Below are 17,994 nucleotides of genomic sequence, written 5' to 3' on the forward strand. Positions count from 1 at the left end.
CAAGTTACACACTCTTGAAAATGGTGTTTTATGCTAGAAATCGTGAGACCCTCCAAATCCAGTAAAATGAACAGCAAAGCTTATGATAAAGACAATGTTTACAAAAAACATATAGGGGCTTTGGTTTGTTTTTTTGTTTTGTTTTGTTTTCAATGAATTTACTTTGGGTCACTTTCTGTGAAGCAAAAAGCAGCTGTGACAGGGAGACTTTCATTCTCTGCATGTGTATATTGCAGTCACTTAAGAGTTACTAAGCCCATCAATCAGTCCTCTGTTTCCCTCTGTTGAATCACTTAGCAACGTGCACCGTGTACCATAGAATCAAGTGTGGTTAATGGGAGCCAGTCTCAGATCAGGCTGCTGCTGATTGCCATCCTCATGAGCTAAGTCAAATTGTTTTTATTCTAACTACAGCCCCTGGCAAATGACCTTGCTATCTTTAATGCAGGTTTGCTTGTTTAATTTTAAGCTATTCCTCATATGCAAGAAATCATACCTATGAATCAGCCCAAATCCAAATAAGTGGCATTCTTAGTCACCACTAATCAGCTTTTTTCTTTTAGTTGAATGGCATCAAAATCAAACTGTGTTTTTATTTAGTGCACATTTGAGGTTAATAAAACCATTCAGAAGCAAGTGTCAGCCTTTAAAGGTGCCCAAAGATTCGTTCTAGTGATTGTGAAAAAGGTCTAGAAGTCAAATGGGTACCCAGAGAGCCAGAAGGCTGTTGGTGAGATGGAGCAGTCACTGAGCGGGTCACCAGGAGAACTTACTTTATGAGATCTGCTGCTAATTTCTGACTTTGGGCAAGTCACCTCACCAGTCTGGGGCTAAGATTCACTCCTCATCAGTAAAATGAATACTTTGGATGAGACGGGAGGTTTTCCCATTCTGATGCTAGGATCTTGTTCATGAGTTAATGAAGACAGTTGAGGAAGGTAAGGAGCTATTTCTACTTGATTAGTGAGGCTTCAGTCTATTTCAACATTTCAAAGTTTTTCATGATAATTTGTTCATGAAAAAAAAAAGAAAACAGAGGAGTTGCTCCAGCTCTAAAAAAAATTTGAAAACCACACCCTGTGCTAATTGCAAGTCTAGTCTACTCTGGTGCTGCTCTGTGGTATTGCAGACATAGAGTCTGCTCTGTGGTACATATGGACCAGGTCTTATGATGATGATAGGCCATGTTTAGTGGCTTCACACAGAGGTACTTCAGAGCTTTTATTTGGATTCCTCCCACTTGGATACTGTTCTGACTGCTTTATCAAAATTAAGTGTCTTTGCTTTCACCCTCCTCCTAAAAGTCATTCAACCTAAAAGTAAAATTTTGGGGGGCATTGAGGGGGGAGGAAGCAGAAAATGTTCTGTTTAACAATGAGATCTACACCAGATATTTCATTTTGATTATTTAAATATAAAAGATACCTTTTGCTCACAGTAGTTGGCTTAAAGTACTTCATGATTTATGAGGGGTGATTGCTGACAAAGTACTGGGAGGAGCCGTTTTGAGTCAACACGACCATTTGCATCTGCCTTCACTTGCTCTCCTCTCTTATTAAATTGAGCTATCCTATGTGTGGGTTTTTATAGTAATACTAGAACACTGTGAGTCATACAGAGCAGTTGTGCCGTCTTCACTACATTCTCACCTTGCTGTGAGCTGGCTACATGCCAAAAAATATACATTTTAGTAGGTTGCTGATTTTTAGATTCTTTGAAGGCTAATGTTCATAGCTCTTACTAGCAATAGTCTGGGTATTAGAACAAAAGGAGCTGTCTATTTCAGTATATTTCTTTCTGACCACTCCCCAGCCCCTTACCACAATTTCTTCTCCAGCTATAAAATCTCCTGTATAACTGCAGATGATATAAAACAAAAAGAAAAGTAGAGGGAAAAGTAAGGGCACTATTTATGAAATGTTTTAATTGACACTAAATATTACATGTAGCTTAACTTTTCACTATATATGATCAGCCCTTAATGGGTATTAGTGAAAGCCCTACAATTTACTTGGTTGAAAGCCACTATCCATAGCAAGCTAACACAGGAACAGAAACCAAATACTGCATGTTCTCACTTATAAGTGGGAGCTAAATGATGAGAACACATGGGCACATAGAGGAGAACAACACACACTGGGGCCTTTCAGAGGGAGGAGGGTAGGAAGAGGGAGAGAATCAGGAAAAATAACTAATAGGTACTAGGCTTAATGCCTAGGTGATGAAATAATCTGTACAAAAACCCCCATGACATAACTTTACCTATGTAACAAACCTGCATTTGTACCCCTGAGCTTAAAACAAAAGTATTACAAACCGAAACCATTTGAGTCTTAGCATTATATATCATTGTTCAAGATACTGGCACATACTACATGTTGCCATGAATATCAGCTGCCCCTGTCTCCAACACACACATGCGTGCACACGCACACACACACACACCTTGTAAAATACTATCAGATTTAGAATAAACACTGTAAGATATTTTTAATCTCCCTATTCTATAATTTTAAGCTACCATAGTGTGGCCCTATTATAATATAGCTTCTAACTACTTAAGATAGCCAGGTCAGCAAAAAAAGAAAATAAACAAAGGCATGATTTTTCCATTTGATAAATATTCAGTTGAATGATTTAGAGAAACTTAGCCAAGAAGACTCAGAAGCAAAATTTGGCTTAAATCATTGCCCTTGACTAAATTACTTTAATGATGCAAGTAAATTTGTAGCATTGCTTTTCCCTTCAATTCTATACTTGGTTATGAATCTTTGAATCATGTTAAGATATAATTCACATAGACTATTTTTTAACACTTTGGAATCAATATGCAATTTTGCTAAAATAGTGCATGTCCTCTTTTATGGTCCTCCAACTAATACTCATCAATTGTCACAACCTAATATAAAAGAAAATTACATTCAAGATACATAGTTAATATAGAGGACTCAAAACAAACCTTTAAGGAGAAAATAACTCAGGAAAATGAAATAAGTATTACCATTACATTCACAATACTCACTGTGACCCTCTTTTCCAAATAGAAAGACGAATCATAATGTAAACAGGATTAAGCTTTAAACATCCTTTCATCAGGTTTCCTTAGGTTTGCTACAGTTTCATTTCATTGAAAAAATAAGGAATTTTATAAAGCATTTATGGCAACAAAACACACATGACCATGAGTAAAGGACCAAACACTGAAATACAAAGTGTTTATGATTATGGGTGCATTGATAAAACATTACAGGGTTTACAAAGCAAAGTAAAGTTATACATTTTCTATTAGAGAAAGAGTATGTGCACAACAGTCTGGATATTTTACTTTGGTGAACTGGAAAGTAGTGAAACTTGGCAAAGCGACCCACCAAATCTGTCTATTTAGAACCTAAATTTATGGGGAGAATTGTCAAATATCATCACATATTCCAGGCATAGTACTCTTGAAGGAGAAACTAAGAATGTTTTGACCTTTTTTTTCTGTTCATTTTGACTCTTCATTGGCCACGTAAATTAACTGCATGTATTACATCTATTGAGCTCTCAGAGAGGGTGTCACTAAATAACTGATTTCAGTTTCCAGAAAACTTTGACTTACTTACACCCCAAGAATTTTCTTTTTGTTTAAATATTTCAGATGCATTCTTCTCTCAAATGTATTAGATATTTGCCTTTTTAAAACGTGGATTCCAAATAAGATTCAGTGTTTCATCAATAAATCAGAGTTCCAATTATGAACATTAATAACATTCTATTAAAATAGTGATAATGTCAAGGTTTACTCTTACGTGAAAGGCTTTAACCCCCACACAATATGTTTCCCAGAAACTGGTGTCTATTTTGAGAAGCTTTTTTTTCTTGGTCAACTTTTTATCATTTTATGGTCACTATCCTACCAATCAGGTAGTCAAGTGTCACTTCTAGTTTGTGTTAATGTTAATTTTCTCTGTTGTGTCTTCCTATTTTTCTATATTTATTTTTTCTATTGTTCTATCTTGCTTATGTTTTGTTCCCAATCAGTGTCTTTGGAAACTAGAAATCATCATTGTGAAAATTGTATTTGTGGAATTATATTTCTAGAATTAATAGTTAAGTAGGCCCTCTTATAATTAAAGAGCATGAGTTCAACACATGGGAGGATTTATTGTTTTTGTTCATTATTCTAATATCTCATGTAAAGCATATTTATGAGGGGAAATTAACTCTAGATATTAACCTAAAGAAGGTTACATTTGTTTCTCATATAATCTAAAGATATCCATTTTGCTACCGCAGAGACATTTTGTCATTTTCCCTGTTTTCTATAATGATCTAGGGAGGTAACATGTCTAATAACTGAATTCCAAATTGAGTAATAATTATACAAAAGCCAATTTAGTTTAGTTTGGTAATCAAAATTAAAAGTATTAGGTGGTAAACAATAAGACTATAAAAGAAAAAGTAGCTGATTGTTTAAATACATTTGCTTATAAGAAAATAGAATAATTTTGGTCCATGAGACTCACAAACATCAGTGACAATGAGGCAATATACTTTTTGTGTAAACTAATTGTTGGAGCTATTTAAAAAGCGCAAAATCCATCATTGATAGAAAATAGCAGCTAAGAATAAAATAACTTAAAATCAGTTTAAATAATAAATTGTTGCTGCAACTTTTAATCAATTGCTCCTGAAGTCTTTATTAAAATTTATGTTTCTTAGAACTACCTATATTTAAAATGTTTTTGTCCATCATCTCAGGTTCCACATTTGAAAGATTTTCTCACATTTACACTTTCATATTGTGACTTGGCTTAAGAGGTAAAGTTAGAGATATTTCAGAAATTTGGGTTTATAAATTCCTTAACTTGCTTTCTATTTCCCATGATTTTAGAACAGTGTTTCTCAAACTTTATGGTGACTGAGAATCCCCTAGAAACTTGTTTAAAATGTAGAGTTATGGGATTTTTTTTTTTCAGGAATTCTGATTCAGTAGGCCAAATAGGGCTCAGAAATCTGAATTTTAAACAAGTATCTTTGTGATTCTGGTTCATGTAAATTAATGTCTTCAGTTAATGAGCTGGAAGTTACTGATAAGTAAGAAGTGCTCATGGTAATCAATTAGAGACAATATATCCTATATAGGACATTAGCCCCTGTTTCACTATCAAATCCATATTCACTATTTATAAAGCATTCAGAAAGCATTATTTATATTTTATTCAAAGGAATTACAAGCACTGAAAATAATATTTAAGATAATAAATATTTGAAGGGGTAGACCTATAGATTCCCCAAATCCAGATTGTATAACGAAATCTATTTTTATTCTGTTGCTTATTCTTCTGTATTGAGTAAATGAATTGTTTTTGCTGTGAATCAAATCACAGAAGTCCCGTTTTTCTTACATATGTACTTAAAATCTTTCTCTGCTTAACTTTAGAGCAACCATCTAAACCTGAAATTGTAAGCAAAGCACTGTTTCTCGAAACAGAGCAGCTAAAAAAGGTAAGAATTGTTTTTGATTAATACCTTTATTTAGCCAGTGTTGTAAGTGCCTTCTTCTGACCTTACATTCCAAGACAAGTAAGAAAGGCTTTGCTCTTGTGGAGATGACAGTGTTGCAGCTACCAATCAGAAATTATCTACAAGGCACAGAGGGTACAACATGCTCACAGTCTCAGGTAACCATGAGGACATCAAGGAAGGTGGGGTCATTTCTGAAAAGAGGAGTCTTTCTCATTTGAATTAATGGATTGTTTAATAGAAGGATGAAGCCAGTTAGCATGATTCATGCCTGTAAGCCCAACAGTTTGGGAGGTTAAGGTGGGAGGATCACTTGAGCCCAGGAATGTACAGCATGGCAAGACCTTGTTTATAAAAAATATTTAAAAGTTAGCTGGGCATAGCGGTACATGCCTGTGGTCCCAGCTGCTTGGTAGGCTGATGCTTGGTAAGGAGGACTGCTTGAGCCTAGGAGGTCAAAGCTGCAGTGAGCCATGTTTGCACCATTGCATTCCATTGTGGACGACAGAGCCAGACCCTGTGTAGAAAAAATATATAGAGAGAATGATGAAAGATGAATAGATTTTCACCAAGCCAAAGGTAGAAATGGCTTTCCAACAATATGAAATAATAGGATGTGAAAGAGAACGGTGTGTTTGGGAAACAGCAAATTTTGGCATTGATGAAACTGGGTGCCAAGACAGAAAACAAGAAAGGATAGAAAGAGATGAATCTGGAGAGGCAAAGAAAAGTTGGATCATGACAAATCTTACATACTAAATAGGGAGTTTGGACTTTATTCTGTTGGCAAATTATGCTACTGAAAGATTGAAGTAAAGAGGTGAGATCAGATTCGAACAACACATTAGCAGATATGTGAAGGGAAGCTGTATTAAAGTGGGGGACAAAGTTGGAGTTCCATATTGAATAATAATGTAACTAAAATACCAAAGTTTTCCTTTGTTGGGAGATGGAAACCCAAGTCCTACATTCTTTGTGTCATATTAAATTTTACTGCATAAAATTATTTGATGAATACCAAATATTAAAGTTAAAATACATTTAAAGAAAGTGAGGGGAATTATAGAGCATGATAATGTATATCCTCTTGAAATATATGTAGTATGAAACTGGAGACACAGCCCCATTTTAACACCAAATTATTCTTCCGTATGAAGATCTATGATTCATGGTAATAGTCAGTGTTAATAGAGTAATGTTATTTGGTTAATGTTAAAAATGAATAGTGTCAAAATGAATTTGGCAATGCTTTCAAATGAATGTGATTTTATAATAGTGACACCATCTATTGCACATTTAAAAATCGTCAAAAGTATATTTTCAAATAAATTGTTAAAAAGGTCTTAAAAAGACATTGTTTTTATACCAGAGAGCATGTATTCAGTCTTTGGTCAGTGTTGGAAAATAAACGGGTCAAGAAACCCTTGGAATAACTCTGCATTGCCTGAGTTTCTGGAGTTTCCAAATTGACAGCCCCTGATTGAACCAAGGTAATAACATTGCCTTTTTATTTTGCAGTTGGGTGACTGCATTTCAGAAGACAGTTATCCAGATGGCAATATCACATGGTACAGGAATGGAAAAGTGCTACATCCCCTTGAAGGAGGTGGGTGTGAGGGCAGGAGGACAGGGAGTACATTCAGAGGACCTGTTCTGACTTTCTTTGTTCTAGGTATTCTTTAAACCAGTGGTCTCCAACCTTTTTGGCACCAGGAACTGGTTTCATGGAAGACAATTTTTCTTTGGATCAGGGTGGGGGGATGGTTTCAGGGTGATTCACAGGCATTAGGTTTATTGTGTACTTTATTTCTATTATTATTACATAGTGATATATAACAAAATAATTATGCAACTCACCATAATGTAGAATCAGTGAGAGCCCAGAGCTTGTTTTTCTGGAACTAGACAGTCCCATCTAGGGGTGATGGGACACAGTGACAGATCATCAGGCATCAGATTCTCATAACAAGTATGCAACCTAGATCCCTCATATGTGCAGTTCACAGCAGGATTTGCATTCCTGTAAGAACGTAATTCCACAACTGATCTGACAGGAGAAGGAGCTCAGTCAGTAATGTGAGCCATGGGGAGTGGCTGTAAATACAAAAGAAGCTTCTTGTGGTTGCCCACCGCTCACCTCCTGCTGTTTGCACCCATACCAGTCCTGGAGGTTGGAGACCCCCGCTTTAAACTATTCAGGATCTAAATATGTTGCCCTCTTTTGAGCTATGACTCTTATGCTCTGTTACTTTAAGTATGTACTAAATTAATACATGATTTTTTAAACATCATTTTCAGCCCTTGTACAGAAGAATCAAGAGCAGAGGAAATAATTTCTGTATATGGCATGATCTAGAAGTTAATTAAGTGAGTGGGAAAAGGGATTCCAGGATTCTATTTCTGTGTCTCTGATTCACGGTTTTGAAACGACATCTAACCTCACTACATGTCAATTTTCTCTCCTGCTGAATACAGTTAGAAGGAAAAAAAACACTTCTCAAAGGTGTGGTGCTGTTTCGTTAAGGATTGTGATTGTCAGATGAAAGACCCTATCATCAGTGTTCTTTATTTTCTTCAGCGGTGGTCATAATTTTTAAAAAGGAAATGGACCCAGTGACTCAGCTCTATACCATGACTTCCACCCTGGAGTACAAGACAACCAAGGCTGACATACAAATGCCATTCACCTGCTCGGTGACATATTATGGACCATCTGGCCAGAAAACAATTCATTCTGAACAGGCAGTATTTGATATTTACTGTAAGTAATTCAATATATAATTATGCTATTTAATGTATTAGAAATAATATTCAAATGCTATTAATCTTTGAGGTCCCAATCCAATTACTCTTTGAATTCTGCTTCCAGTCTGCACCCCAAATTGATGGCACCCAAATAATCTCTTCCTCTTTAGGAGACCATAGCATGAATAAACATTTATCCATCCTATAATATCTTTCACTCTCTACATTTTATCTATGAGTGTCTCTTCTGAATTCCACTACACACTAAGTTCTTTAAAGATAAGATCTATAACTTATTTTCTGGATGAATGACAGACAAATATAGACTTTAACTGGCTTTCTAAATAAGAGATTACCATTTTAATGAAGAAATTTATTTTAATAATAAGATCAATTGCATAAGTTTGATAGGATGTTGTATTACAAGACATTTTACTTAACTAAATTGTGTATTTGAAACAGAGTATTTGTCTACAAAGGAATCTTCATGGTCATCTGTTCTAACTTCATTATTTTAGTTAGTAAAGTGAGGCACAGAGTCTTGCCCTAAATTAGCTGTAGATATTAGAATAGAATCTTTTTCTCCATTGCTGTGCTTTCCTTGTAAGACAGGTGCCAAGATAATCTAATGATTAGAAGCAAAAATTCTGGAATTCTAGTCCCAGCATTATCAATTACCATTTCTTGAAAAGTAGCTTAATTACTCTACATCTCAGTTTTCTTACTTTAAAATGGGAAAAATATAATACCTAACTGATAGTGTTGTTATAGAGAGTAAGTGAAATCACAAATCAAAAATAGCATGCTACATCACACATTAAATTGTCATTATTAAGTACTTTATTATTATTATTATATGGTCATTATCACAATATAAACATAGAGCTGAAGATATTTGGGGGGAAAATGCAATAAAGGATTTTCTTCTTATTATTAATTTATCTAAAATTTTTGTGATACTGGCATGTGTTCTACAGTAACCTAGCACTTCTACATCTATTTTAGAGAAAAGCCAGGAATGCCTGCTGAGCCTTTCGAAAGAATCACCTCACCTACATTTCTTTTTTTGGTTCCCTAGGGCACAATATCTTATATGAGAACAAAAGTGAAATTCTTCCAAAGTTGCCCTAATATTAAAAGGTAGTTTTGCCTTAAACTTGGGAAATAAGTTTCAACTTGATTTAAACCCAAGAAATTAATATTTCATTATGTATAGCTTATCTAAAATCAAACTTTTTTAGGTGAAGGCAGAATTCTTTCTTTCTTTTTTTTTTTTTTGTGTGAGACATAGTCTCACTCTGTTGCCCAGGCCAGAGTGCAGTGGCGTAATCTCAGCTTACTGCAACCTCCACCTCTTGAATTCAAGTGCTTCTCCTGCCTCAGCCTCCCAAGTAGCTGGGATTAGAAGCGCATGCCACCACACCCTGCTGATTTTTGTATTTTTAGTAGAGGTGGGGTTCCACCATGTTGGTCAGGTTGGTCTCGAACTCCTGACCTCAGGTGATCTGCCCACCTCAGCCTCCCAAAGTACTGGGATTACAGGTGTGAGCCACCAAGCCCGGCCCAGAATTCTTTCTGTTAGAAATATTCAATTGGAAATAAACCATATTAGTGTAAGTGTAGGTGTACAACACAGGAGAGAACATCAAGATAAGTAATAAGAATTGGGAAATTGGCTTCAGAAAGAATAGAAATATCTGTGAGTATGAGGCATGCAGAGTTGGGTAGACGGAGAAGTTCTTGAATGGATACGAAGAAAATGATTTTATCATGCTGGCTGTGTAAGGTGCACTTGTCATGGCTTTTAAGAAGCCACAGTGGGCTTCATGGTGAAAACACGAAGCACAAAGAAGCAGTTTAAGACAGTCCTCACATTCAAGGAGTGTACTACTCCAGTAGAGAAACAAGACACCTACATCAGAAGGAAATTGCCAATGCAAGGTTGTAAGGGTAAAAGTCTTAGGAACTCAGTATTAAGAGTCTTGAGGGCTCAGGTGCCCAAGGACAGTGGTTCTCAAACTGTAGTGTAAATCAGAAGAACATGAAGGACTTGTTAGAGCACAGATTACTGCACCCTGGCCTTGAGTTTCTGATTTAGTGGGTATAGGACGGTGATTGACACTCTGCATTTGTAACAAATTCCCTGATGGTGCTAATGCTGCTGATCTGAGGACTACGAGTGGAGAACCACTGCTCTAGGAAGACTTCAGAGAACAGAAGAAGAGTGCTAAATGGAAAGGAGAGACGAGTCCATTTCAAGAAAAAAAAATTGGCCAATTCATCTTGAGAAAGCTTGAGAAAAATGCACCAGTCCACTCCTTTCTTACCCTATTCAATCAGTAACGAGGTTTTAGAGAATCTAGCTCTTTAATCTTTGTTTTGATCTGATTTCTGCCTTCTGACACTGCCTACGTTTATGCCACCATTCCTCATTGCCTCTATTCCTGCGATGGATTTCAAAGTAGTATTTTTCCAATGAATTGCAAAATAGTATTTCTCTTGTCTGCCCACCATTCTCTGTTCACCCCCAAATAAACTGCCCTCCAAACTGCTGCCAGAAATATTTTTCTAAAACACAAATGTGACAAAAACTTCTCAGTGACTCCCCAGAGCTCTCAGATTAATATCCTTCCCCCTCCCCCAATTGCAGTATGCCTTGAGTTCGTTTTAGCCATGGTCCTACAGTATGTCTCAACCCTCATCACTGCCTGTATCCACTGTGGTCTGTTCTACTTTCCAGATTCCTTCTGTAGAGTAATACTTACATGCCTATGCATATGCTGTCATTTTCCCACCTTTATCATTTAGCAAATACCCATTTATGTGTCAAAACCCAGCTCCAGGGTCAGTTCCTCCAGGAAGCTTCCTAGTCTCATGTAATGATGGCTACCAGGATCCCTATGCTTGTGTCATATGCAGGTTTTATGTGGTCATACTCTTAATTATTAAGTTTGGTGTCTTTACAAATAGAGGAAAAGTTCATTGAGGCAGGGTTTTCAACTTCCTAATTCCAGCACTTAAGGCTTGCACAATATAGATGCCAAACAAATGAATAAATGAAGAAGGACTGTAGGATAAATAAATACATGAAAAGAAAATTTCAGCAGACAGTTTTGGTTATTTTGTAGGGGTTTATGTAGCAGAGTAAGAGAGAAGACTCTCACTTGAGCTGGGTTCAAGCCAAATTGTGGATACCAGGCTAAGGAATTTTTATTTTTAATCTTCATATGTTGGGAATGTGTAACAGATTTTGAGTATCATTGTAATATTCAAAGCGCTACTTCAGAAAACAGATTCAGAGGAAATATATATGAAAGGATCAAAAGGAAGGAGACTCAAGGTGAGGAACCAAGTGAAATTTGATGGCATTGCTTCAAGTTTAGGTTAATTAGGACATGGACTAGGGAAGTGTTAGTGAGAATAGAAGGGGAGAATCAGACCCAAAATATATTGTAAAGTATTAATCATCAAGACATGGTGACTGAATGGATAAGAGAGGGCAAAGGAGAAAGCCAGGGCAATGGGCAAAATGATGATTTACTAGTGGGCAGAGTAAAATTCAAAGTCAGGGGCAAACGCAGAGCAAGGGATCCTTAACTTTGAGGTAAACACGTTAGTGGACATGCAGAGAGTTACTGTCAAAACGCAAATGTGTTACATTAACCCTTTGATGACTCTCTAATACAAAGCGGAGCCTATTGAAAAGGGAACACAGAGAAGGGGAGTTTTAAAATAGAGAAGGAAGTCAGAGATTGCCATCCCTGGCTGTTCTGTTGTGTCAACCTTGATCAGAGATGTGCCACAGTGACATGCCACAGGCCAAACATGAGCACTAGTCAGAGAAGGGCCAAGTAAGAAAAGCAAGAGAGGCCCGGAAACGGAAGGTCAGCAGGGCACCAAAACCAGATTTTATTTACTTTTCAACCTCACCGGAAACTGCTGGTTAGGAAACTACTTCAGGCAAATCCAGAAAAACAAATAAGAAATGTATTAAATCAATCACCGTTTAACCTCAGAATGTACTGGACAAGTATTCAGAGATGCCCAAGCATAGAGAAAAGGCAAAGAAACAATCTATAACAAACTTCTAAGTTTTTTTATCTGCACTTTATCTATAGAAAGGTAAATAAATGACCGCAAGAGATAGAACAAAGCCTCCAAAAGTATAACTTACTCATTTCACTTGTTAGCTAATAAAAAAAATAGGTTTTCATAGATAATTTTTAGTGCCACCAGTTTGGAAATATATACACATGCCTCAATAATTATTAAGTCTTGTGGAAAACATTCTATAAAACATACCTTTGCATTATATGATTTCAAAATTTATTATTCATTGTATTATCCAGCAACATAACAAATGGATAGGTTAGTGGATCATTTCTAACTGCCAGCACCACTTCATTTTATTTCCTGTTTGCTAGATATGGTTCACTGTATCCAGCATTTAATTTCATTAGCATTCTACTATTGAGTGCTGAAGCATACCCTTTAGCCCTATTTTCTCCATAAATTGACCAAAATGGAATGAAAGTTGCATCTTGGCTCCAATGAACAGGACAAAATTACAATACACTTACAGTCCTGTTGATTGTGTCAAGGTTCTCCCTCAGTTCATAGGATTCATCTTTTTTTAAGCAGATCTTCTCTCCTGCATGCCGAAATCCTCGCTGGTGTTGTTTAGCTCATGTCTCCTCTTTTTATTTCATATGAAGTATTATCATGCAATATGAGTACAGTGGCATCTAATAGCTTTAGCTATTTGCTAGCTGATTTTTGTCCTTCCAAACTATAAGATTCATATAATATATAATTAAATTTCCCTATCATAAAGCCATGCAGTTTGATTGTTCCTATGGTCTTTTATACATAAAATAATTACCACCATTCCTACCTCAGTTAAAGACATTTTGCTAAGAAGAAATTGATTTTTATGTAACAGGGTTTCTTTGTAGTTGGCCCTAAGATTAGTACTTGTATAGCAAGTAGCTATTAGCTTCAATCCTTCTATAAAAAGGTATATTTAAGCAATTACCATTACTAGCTTCTTGAGAAAATTATGTATAATTTAGTCATTTACATTGTATGCACAGAGTAATTCGGTACTTGACAAAAATGGTTAACTTGTGTCTGTAACTCTTACAGATCCTACAGAGCAGGTGACAATACAAGTGCTGCCACCAAAAAATGCCATCAAAGAAGGGGATAACATCACTCTTAAATGCTTAGGGAATGGCAACCCTCCCCCAGAGGAATTTTTGTTTTACTTACCAGTAAGTGCTTAAGTATTACTTCAGTTGGATGACTATCATTTTTCCTGTTGTTTGACTTCTACATGGATAGATTAAGTGAGAAAAAATGTTATTGCTGGAGACAAGAGACGCCACCTATAAAATGTCACGTGGAAGCTTTTTCTGCACCTGCCACTGTTCTTGCCTTTTTTCTCAATGCTGAGAGATTTCAAGGACAAAGAGAAAAAAAAAGCCAACCACAGGAAACCATAATTGCAAAAACTTAAAGTTTAATTATCCAAATAAACTTTAAGAATCTGCTCCTCAGAAGCAGATAACTACAAAATGAAAACTGATGACAGTGAATGAACTGATGTGGATTCTAAATCTGCCCACAACATTGCCCCGAACACACCTCTAACCCTCAGAAGTAGGGATAGTTCTGTTGCACGTTATATTTAGGATAATGCTATGGCTCTTTTTTGGTCATTATGTATAATCTTGAAATGCCATTTCCTCAACTTTTCTCCATATCATAGCTGAAGGAAATGATATGCATAGAGGATACTTTGGAAAATTCCTCTCGGATGTGCTCTGCATGTCATAAGGATCTGGAAGCAGACAAGGAGAGAGCTCGCTCTGAGGATGCCTGTTTGCTCTCGCATATCTTTGTGTTTGACATCACTTTCACATTGAGGGAAGCCATAATGCAACTCAATACTGCATTTACTGCAGGGTTGTGCTTACAAATTTCATCTACCACAGTACTCAATAGTATTTAAGAATGTCATTCACTACATTATTCAGAAGACTAGTATAAGTAATTTCTTTATGCTGACAGAAAACTTTGTTTCTCCCAATGAATTAATTGCTGTTTTTGTTTCCTTTGCGAAGGAAAATTTAAAACTAATTAGGTTTCTGCTTTGGCTATCGGGGATGACAGAGCCAAATTTGTGTCTCAGTTTTAGCAATAATACCTGCTGAATATCTTTCTTTGTTAACTTATATTATTCCTACATCATCTATATTTTTCCTAGTCTTAATTTCTTAATTTCTTTTTTTCTTTTGTCATTTTCTTTTTTTCTTCTCCTCTCTCTCTTCCTTTCCCCTTTCTTTCTTTCTCATTCTTCTCATTTCATCCTTTCTTCCTTTTTACTTTCCTTCCTTCCTTCTTTCCTTCCTTTTATGTTTTTTCTTTTAATCTGGATATATAGTGTATTTCCTTTTAAGCTGCCTCAAATATTTTTGTCAAATTACATAAGGCATAAATATAAAAATAAAACATTGGACTTTTTAAAAATGCCCTTGAAACTTGAGCAAAAGCCATGCTGTCAATAAAATAAAAGTCATCAATAGAAAATAAATCAGCTCTCAAATTCCTTAGGTCCAAAATATTAATTATTTGCCCAGGAATCAGATATTGGTAACACAAACTGTACTCTTTTTGTGTGATCAATGAAACACATTCCCTTTTTTATCTTACTTGATAAAATGCTATCTTCATCAAGAAATACAACTGTTCTCATTGTAGCGACCAAGTATAATCATCTGACATTTTGCCTCTATCAAAAGGGACAGCCCGAAGGAATAAGAAGCTCAAATACTTACACACTGACGGATGTGAGGCGCAATGCAACAGGAGACTACAAGTGTTCCCTGATAGACAAAAAAAGCATGATTGCTTCAACAGCTATCACAGTTCACTGTAAGTCACCTACTTCTTCATCAGCAGCTTCACCTCAAAGGCTTCTAATAGCTTAATGTAGCTATCTTTTCAAATAAACTGCACGTATATCTTTCTTAAATAACTTGGTTGCAATAGATGCAGTAGAGAGAGAAAGCATCGGGATAAGCTCAACTTTGTCCAGATTTGTACTGCAATATTGAAACCTTGCATGGCTCTGATAACCGCAACTTTTGGCAGTGGTACATCTCCATCTTCTTTCTAAGTGTCTTCAATTTGTGGTGTCAATGAACAATATTCATATAGACCTTAAAGAAACAACTCTGTATATTTTAAGAAAACATTTCCATGTTCTTGAAGTGCACCAGCTTTGCAGTTGACCCAGCATTATCATTTGTGTTACAGAATAAATTTAACACCCAAACTCAGACAATACAAAGTTACTACAGACTCAGTTTTGGGAACAGGAAGTAGAGATCATTAGAAGTTATTTATTGGCTGAATGTACTCTATATAGAGGGGTAGGAAATTTCTGGAAACAGAACCTCTTGAAAATCACTGTGGACATAACTTTTTAACTTTTAATTTGCTTTTGATCTCCAAATACTCCAAAAATTATATTTGCCTCGGTGTAACAGAAAAAGACACATGTAAATACCAGACATTTAACTTGAGTTCTTCATGACAGTCCATATTATTGATGTACCTGATGAATCATGGAAACAGTAAACTAATTCATACCACACCCTGGTGACACTAGAATTCAGAGTGCTTTAAGCAAATGTCAGTCTTGCTTAGAGGTATAGTACAAACTTCCTAATAAGTCCTTTGCACTCAACAGTACCATTAATAAGGTTTCCTCTAGACATCATCCACTACAATCCCACTGAGTATAAAGAGACTTTAGAAATTGTCTTGAGTACATAGTTCTAACTCTTTCATTTGACTCATAATACTTTAAAAACATGTGGGATATGAGCTAAATTTTTGAGAGAGATACAGGGAGGTACATTGGGGAATAAAGCAACCAGATGGTTGCTTCTGATTGTCTGATGTTGGGAGTGCTCCCTTGAGAGCCCTGTAAAAATAGTGGACTGTTATGTTCACAGCTGGGCCATTTCTCCATTTACTCCTTGCTTATGTTGCTTGGGTTTGAATGTGTCTCCCATCAGGGGCTAGTTACAGAGAAAGCAGTAGCTTCCAGTATAACAATATTATCCAGTCCTGTTCCATGAAAATAAAATAATGAAGAAAGAGAATATAGCCAGCAGATAGAACCATATGTGGAATAGCTAGCTCTCTATTATCATTGCTCATGATGTCTTTGGGCCAATAATCAATAATCTAGTGCCTTAGAGATGGTGTGATGTGCTTATTTTTAAGAGATGCAAGGTACACAGGTCTCTAAAAGAAAAGGGCTCTTATTTACTTTACTTGTAGATAAGGCAGGGGAGGATAGATGGCAGACTGACAAAGCAAAAGACTTGGTTGCAGCCATATAGTGCCTACGTGTTTGGCTGTGATGGGGGAAAATTAAACAAAAGTGTGTAAAAGTTTAACTGGATTTTAGTGCATTTAATTAGATTTAAATGCATCTTGGTTTTGACAGGTAGACTCTAACACTGGGTTTTAACTCTGTTGCTGACTCTGTTCCTCCTCAAAAGCTGAAAAAAAGTATTTCAAGTAAATCAACATCTGATTCTAAATTATATGGAAACATAAAAATCCTATTTTTACCCACTTATCTTTGATTGCTTGCTTATTTTCCAAAAACAAGATTTGTTTCCTTTTCAAACATGTCTAAAGGAAGTGTGGGTAGAGAAGCGCCAACCCATTCTTGCACATGTTTGCAGAATAGACTGCTCATCAAGTCTCACAGCCTACAAATTCCTAGTTGCTGATGAAAGTCACTGTTTCCCTGCCAATATATGCACACATAGAGTCTTCATCAGAGCTTTCAAAGTCCATCATTGTCCTGTAAAATTGTTTATCTCCTCTCTGGAAAATTAGCTATCCAGCTAACAAAAACTTCTAACTCATCCAGAATAAAATTTTCATCTAAATACAATTCACCCAAATGTTCCAAGGAAACTCCACTTTTCTACATGTTGGTACATGGTTTCATATTAATGAGAAATTGAGAAAGCATGCTCCTTCCCTTCATTCATTCAATAGTAATGTTTGAGAGTCTACCATGTCTCAGCCACTGTGGATATATCAGTGACAAACCAAGTCACAATCACTACCCTCATGGTGCTTTCAGTCTGATAGGAGAGACAAACTTTAAAAATGATGTTGCAGTCAACAAGTTGCAATTATGACATTTTAAACCAAGGAGAAACTTGGAGTGTAATGGCAAGTCTTCATACTGTAGAACAAAGACACAACTCCTAGTGTGGCAAGCATGGTCCTCTTCAGTCTGGTCTCAATGAATTGTATGAGTTTAACTTCCATGAGTTGTCACCACTTATACCCAATTACTCACCATTACAAAATCTGCCAAGCTTTCTCATCTCTTCGCCTTTGCTTATGTGACCAAAGTTTTCCTTACATCTTCCCCTATCAAAGTCCTTCTCAACCATCAGAGGCCACGAACATATAGTGTTCCCTTTACAAAGCCTTTATTACTGCTTTGAAACCCAGTTTGGCTCTGTTCTCTATACTTCCATTAAGTCTTCATTTGTACCTCTGTTTCTAGCCTGCCTTTCATCTTTCAACAAATATTTAGTGAACTCCAAATCAGTGTCAGGTTTGCTACTAGGTGCTGATTTTATGGGCTGTGTGTTATAGTCAGCATAGTACCTCTACCTCATTGACTTATAAGGTCAT

At 36.2% G+C, this 17,994-nt stretch overlaps 1 protein-coding gene across 3 annotated transcripts in view; it reads left to right on the forward strand.

Moving 5' to 3' along the window:
* The window catches only part of ALCAM (activated leukocyte cell adhesion molecule), a 209,992-nt gene that overhangs the window by 159,671 nt on the left and 32,327 nt on the right, over positions 1-17,994 (forward strand). For all 3 annotated transcript variants that reach the window (NM_001627.4, NM_001243280.2, NM_001243281.2), the window contains exons 4-8: positions 5,423-5,487; positions 7,024-7,111; positions 8,084-8,266; positions 13,396-13,523; positions 15,054-15,186. In NM_001627.4, the coding sequence (NP_001618.2) occupies positions 5,423-5,487; positions 7,024-7,111; positions 8,084-8,266; positions 13,396-13,523; positions 15,054-15,186 (597 nt within the window). The remainder of the gene's footprint in view (positions 1-5,422; positions 5,488-7,023; positions 7,112-8,083; positions 8,267-13,395; positions 13,524-15,053; positions 15,187-17,994) is intronic.

This window comes from Homo sapiens, chromosome 3 (assembly GCF_000001405.40).
Source record: "Homo sapiens chromosome 3, GRCh38.p14 Primary Assembly".
NCBI lineage: Eukaryota > Metazoa > Chordata > Mammalia > Primates > Hominidae > Homo > Homo sapiens.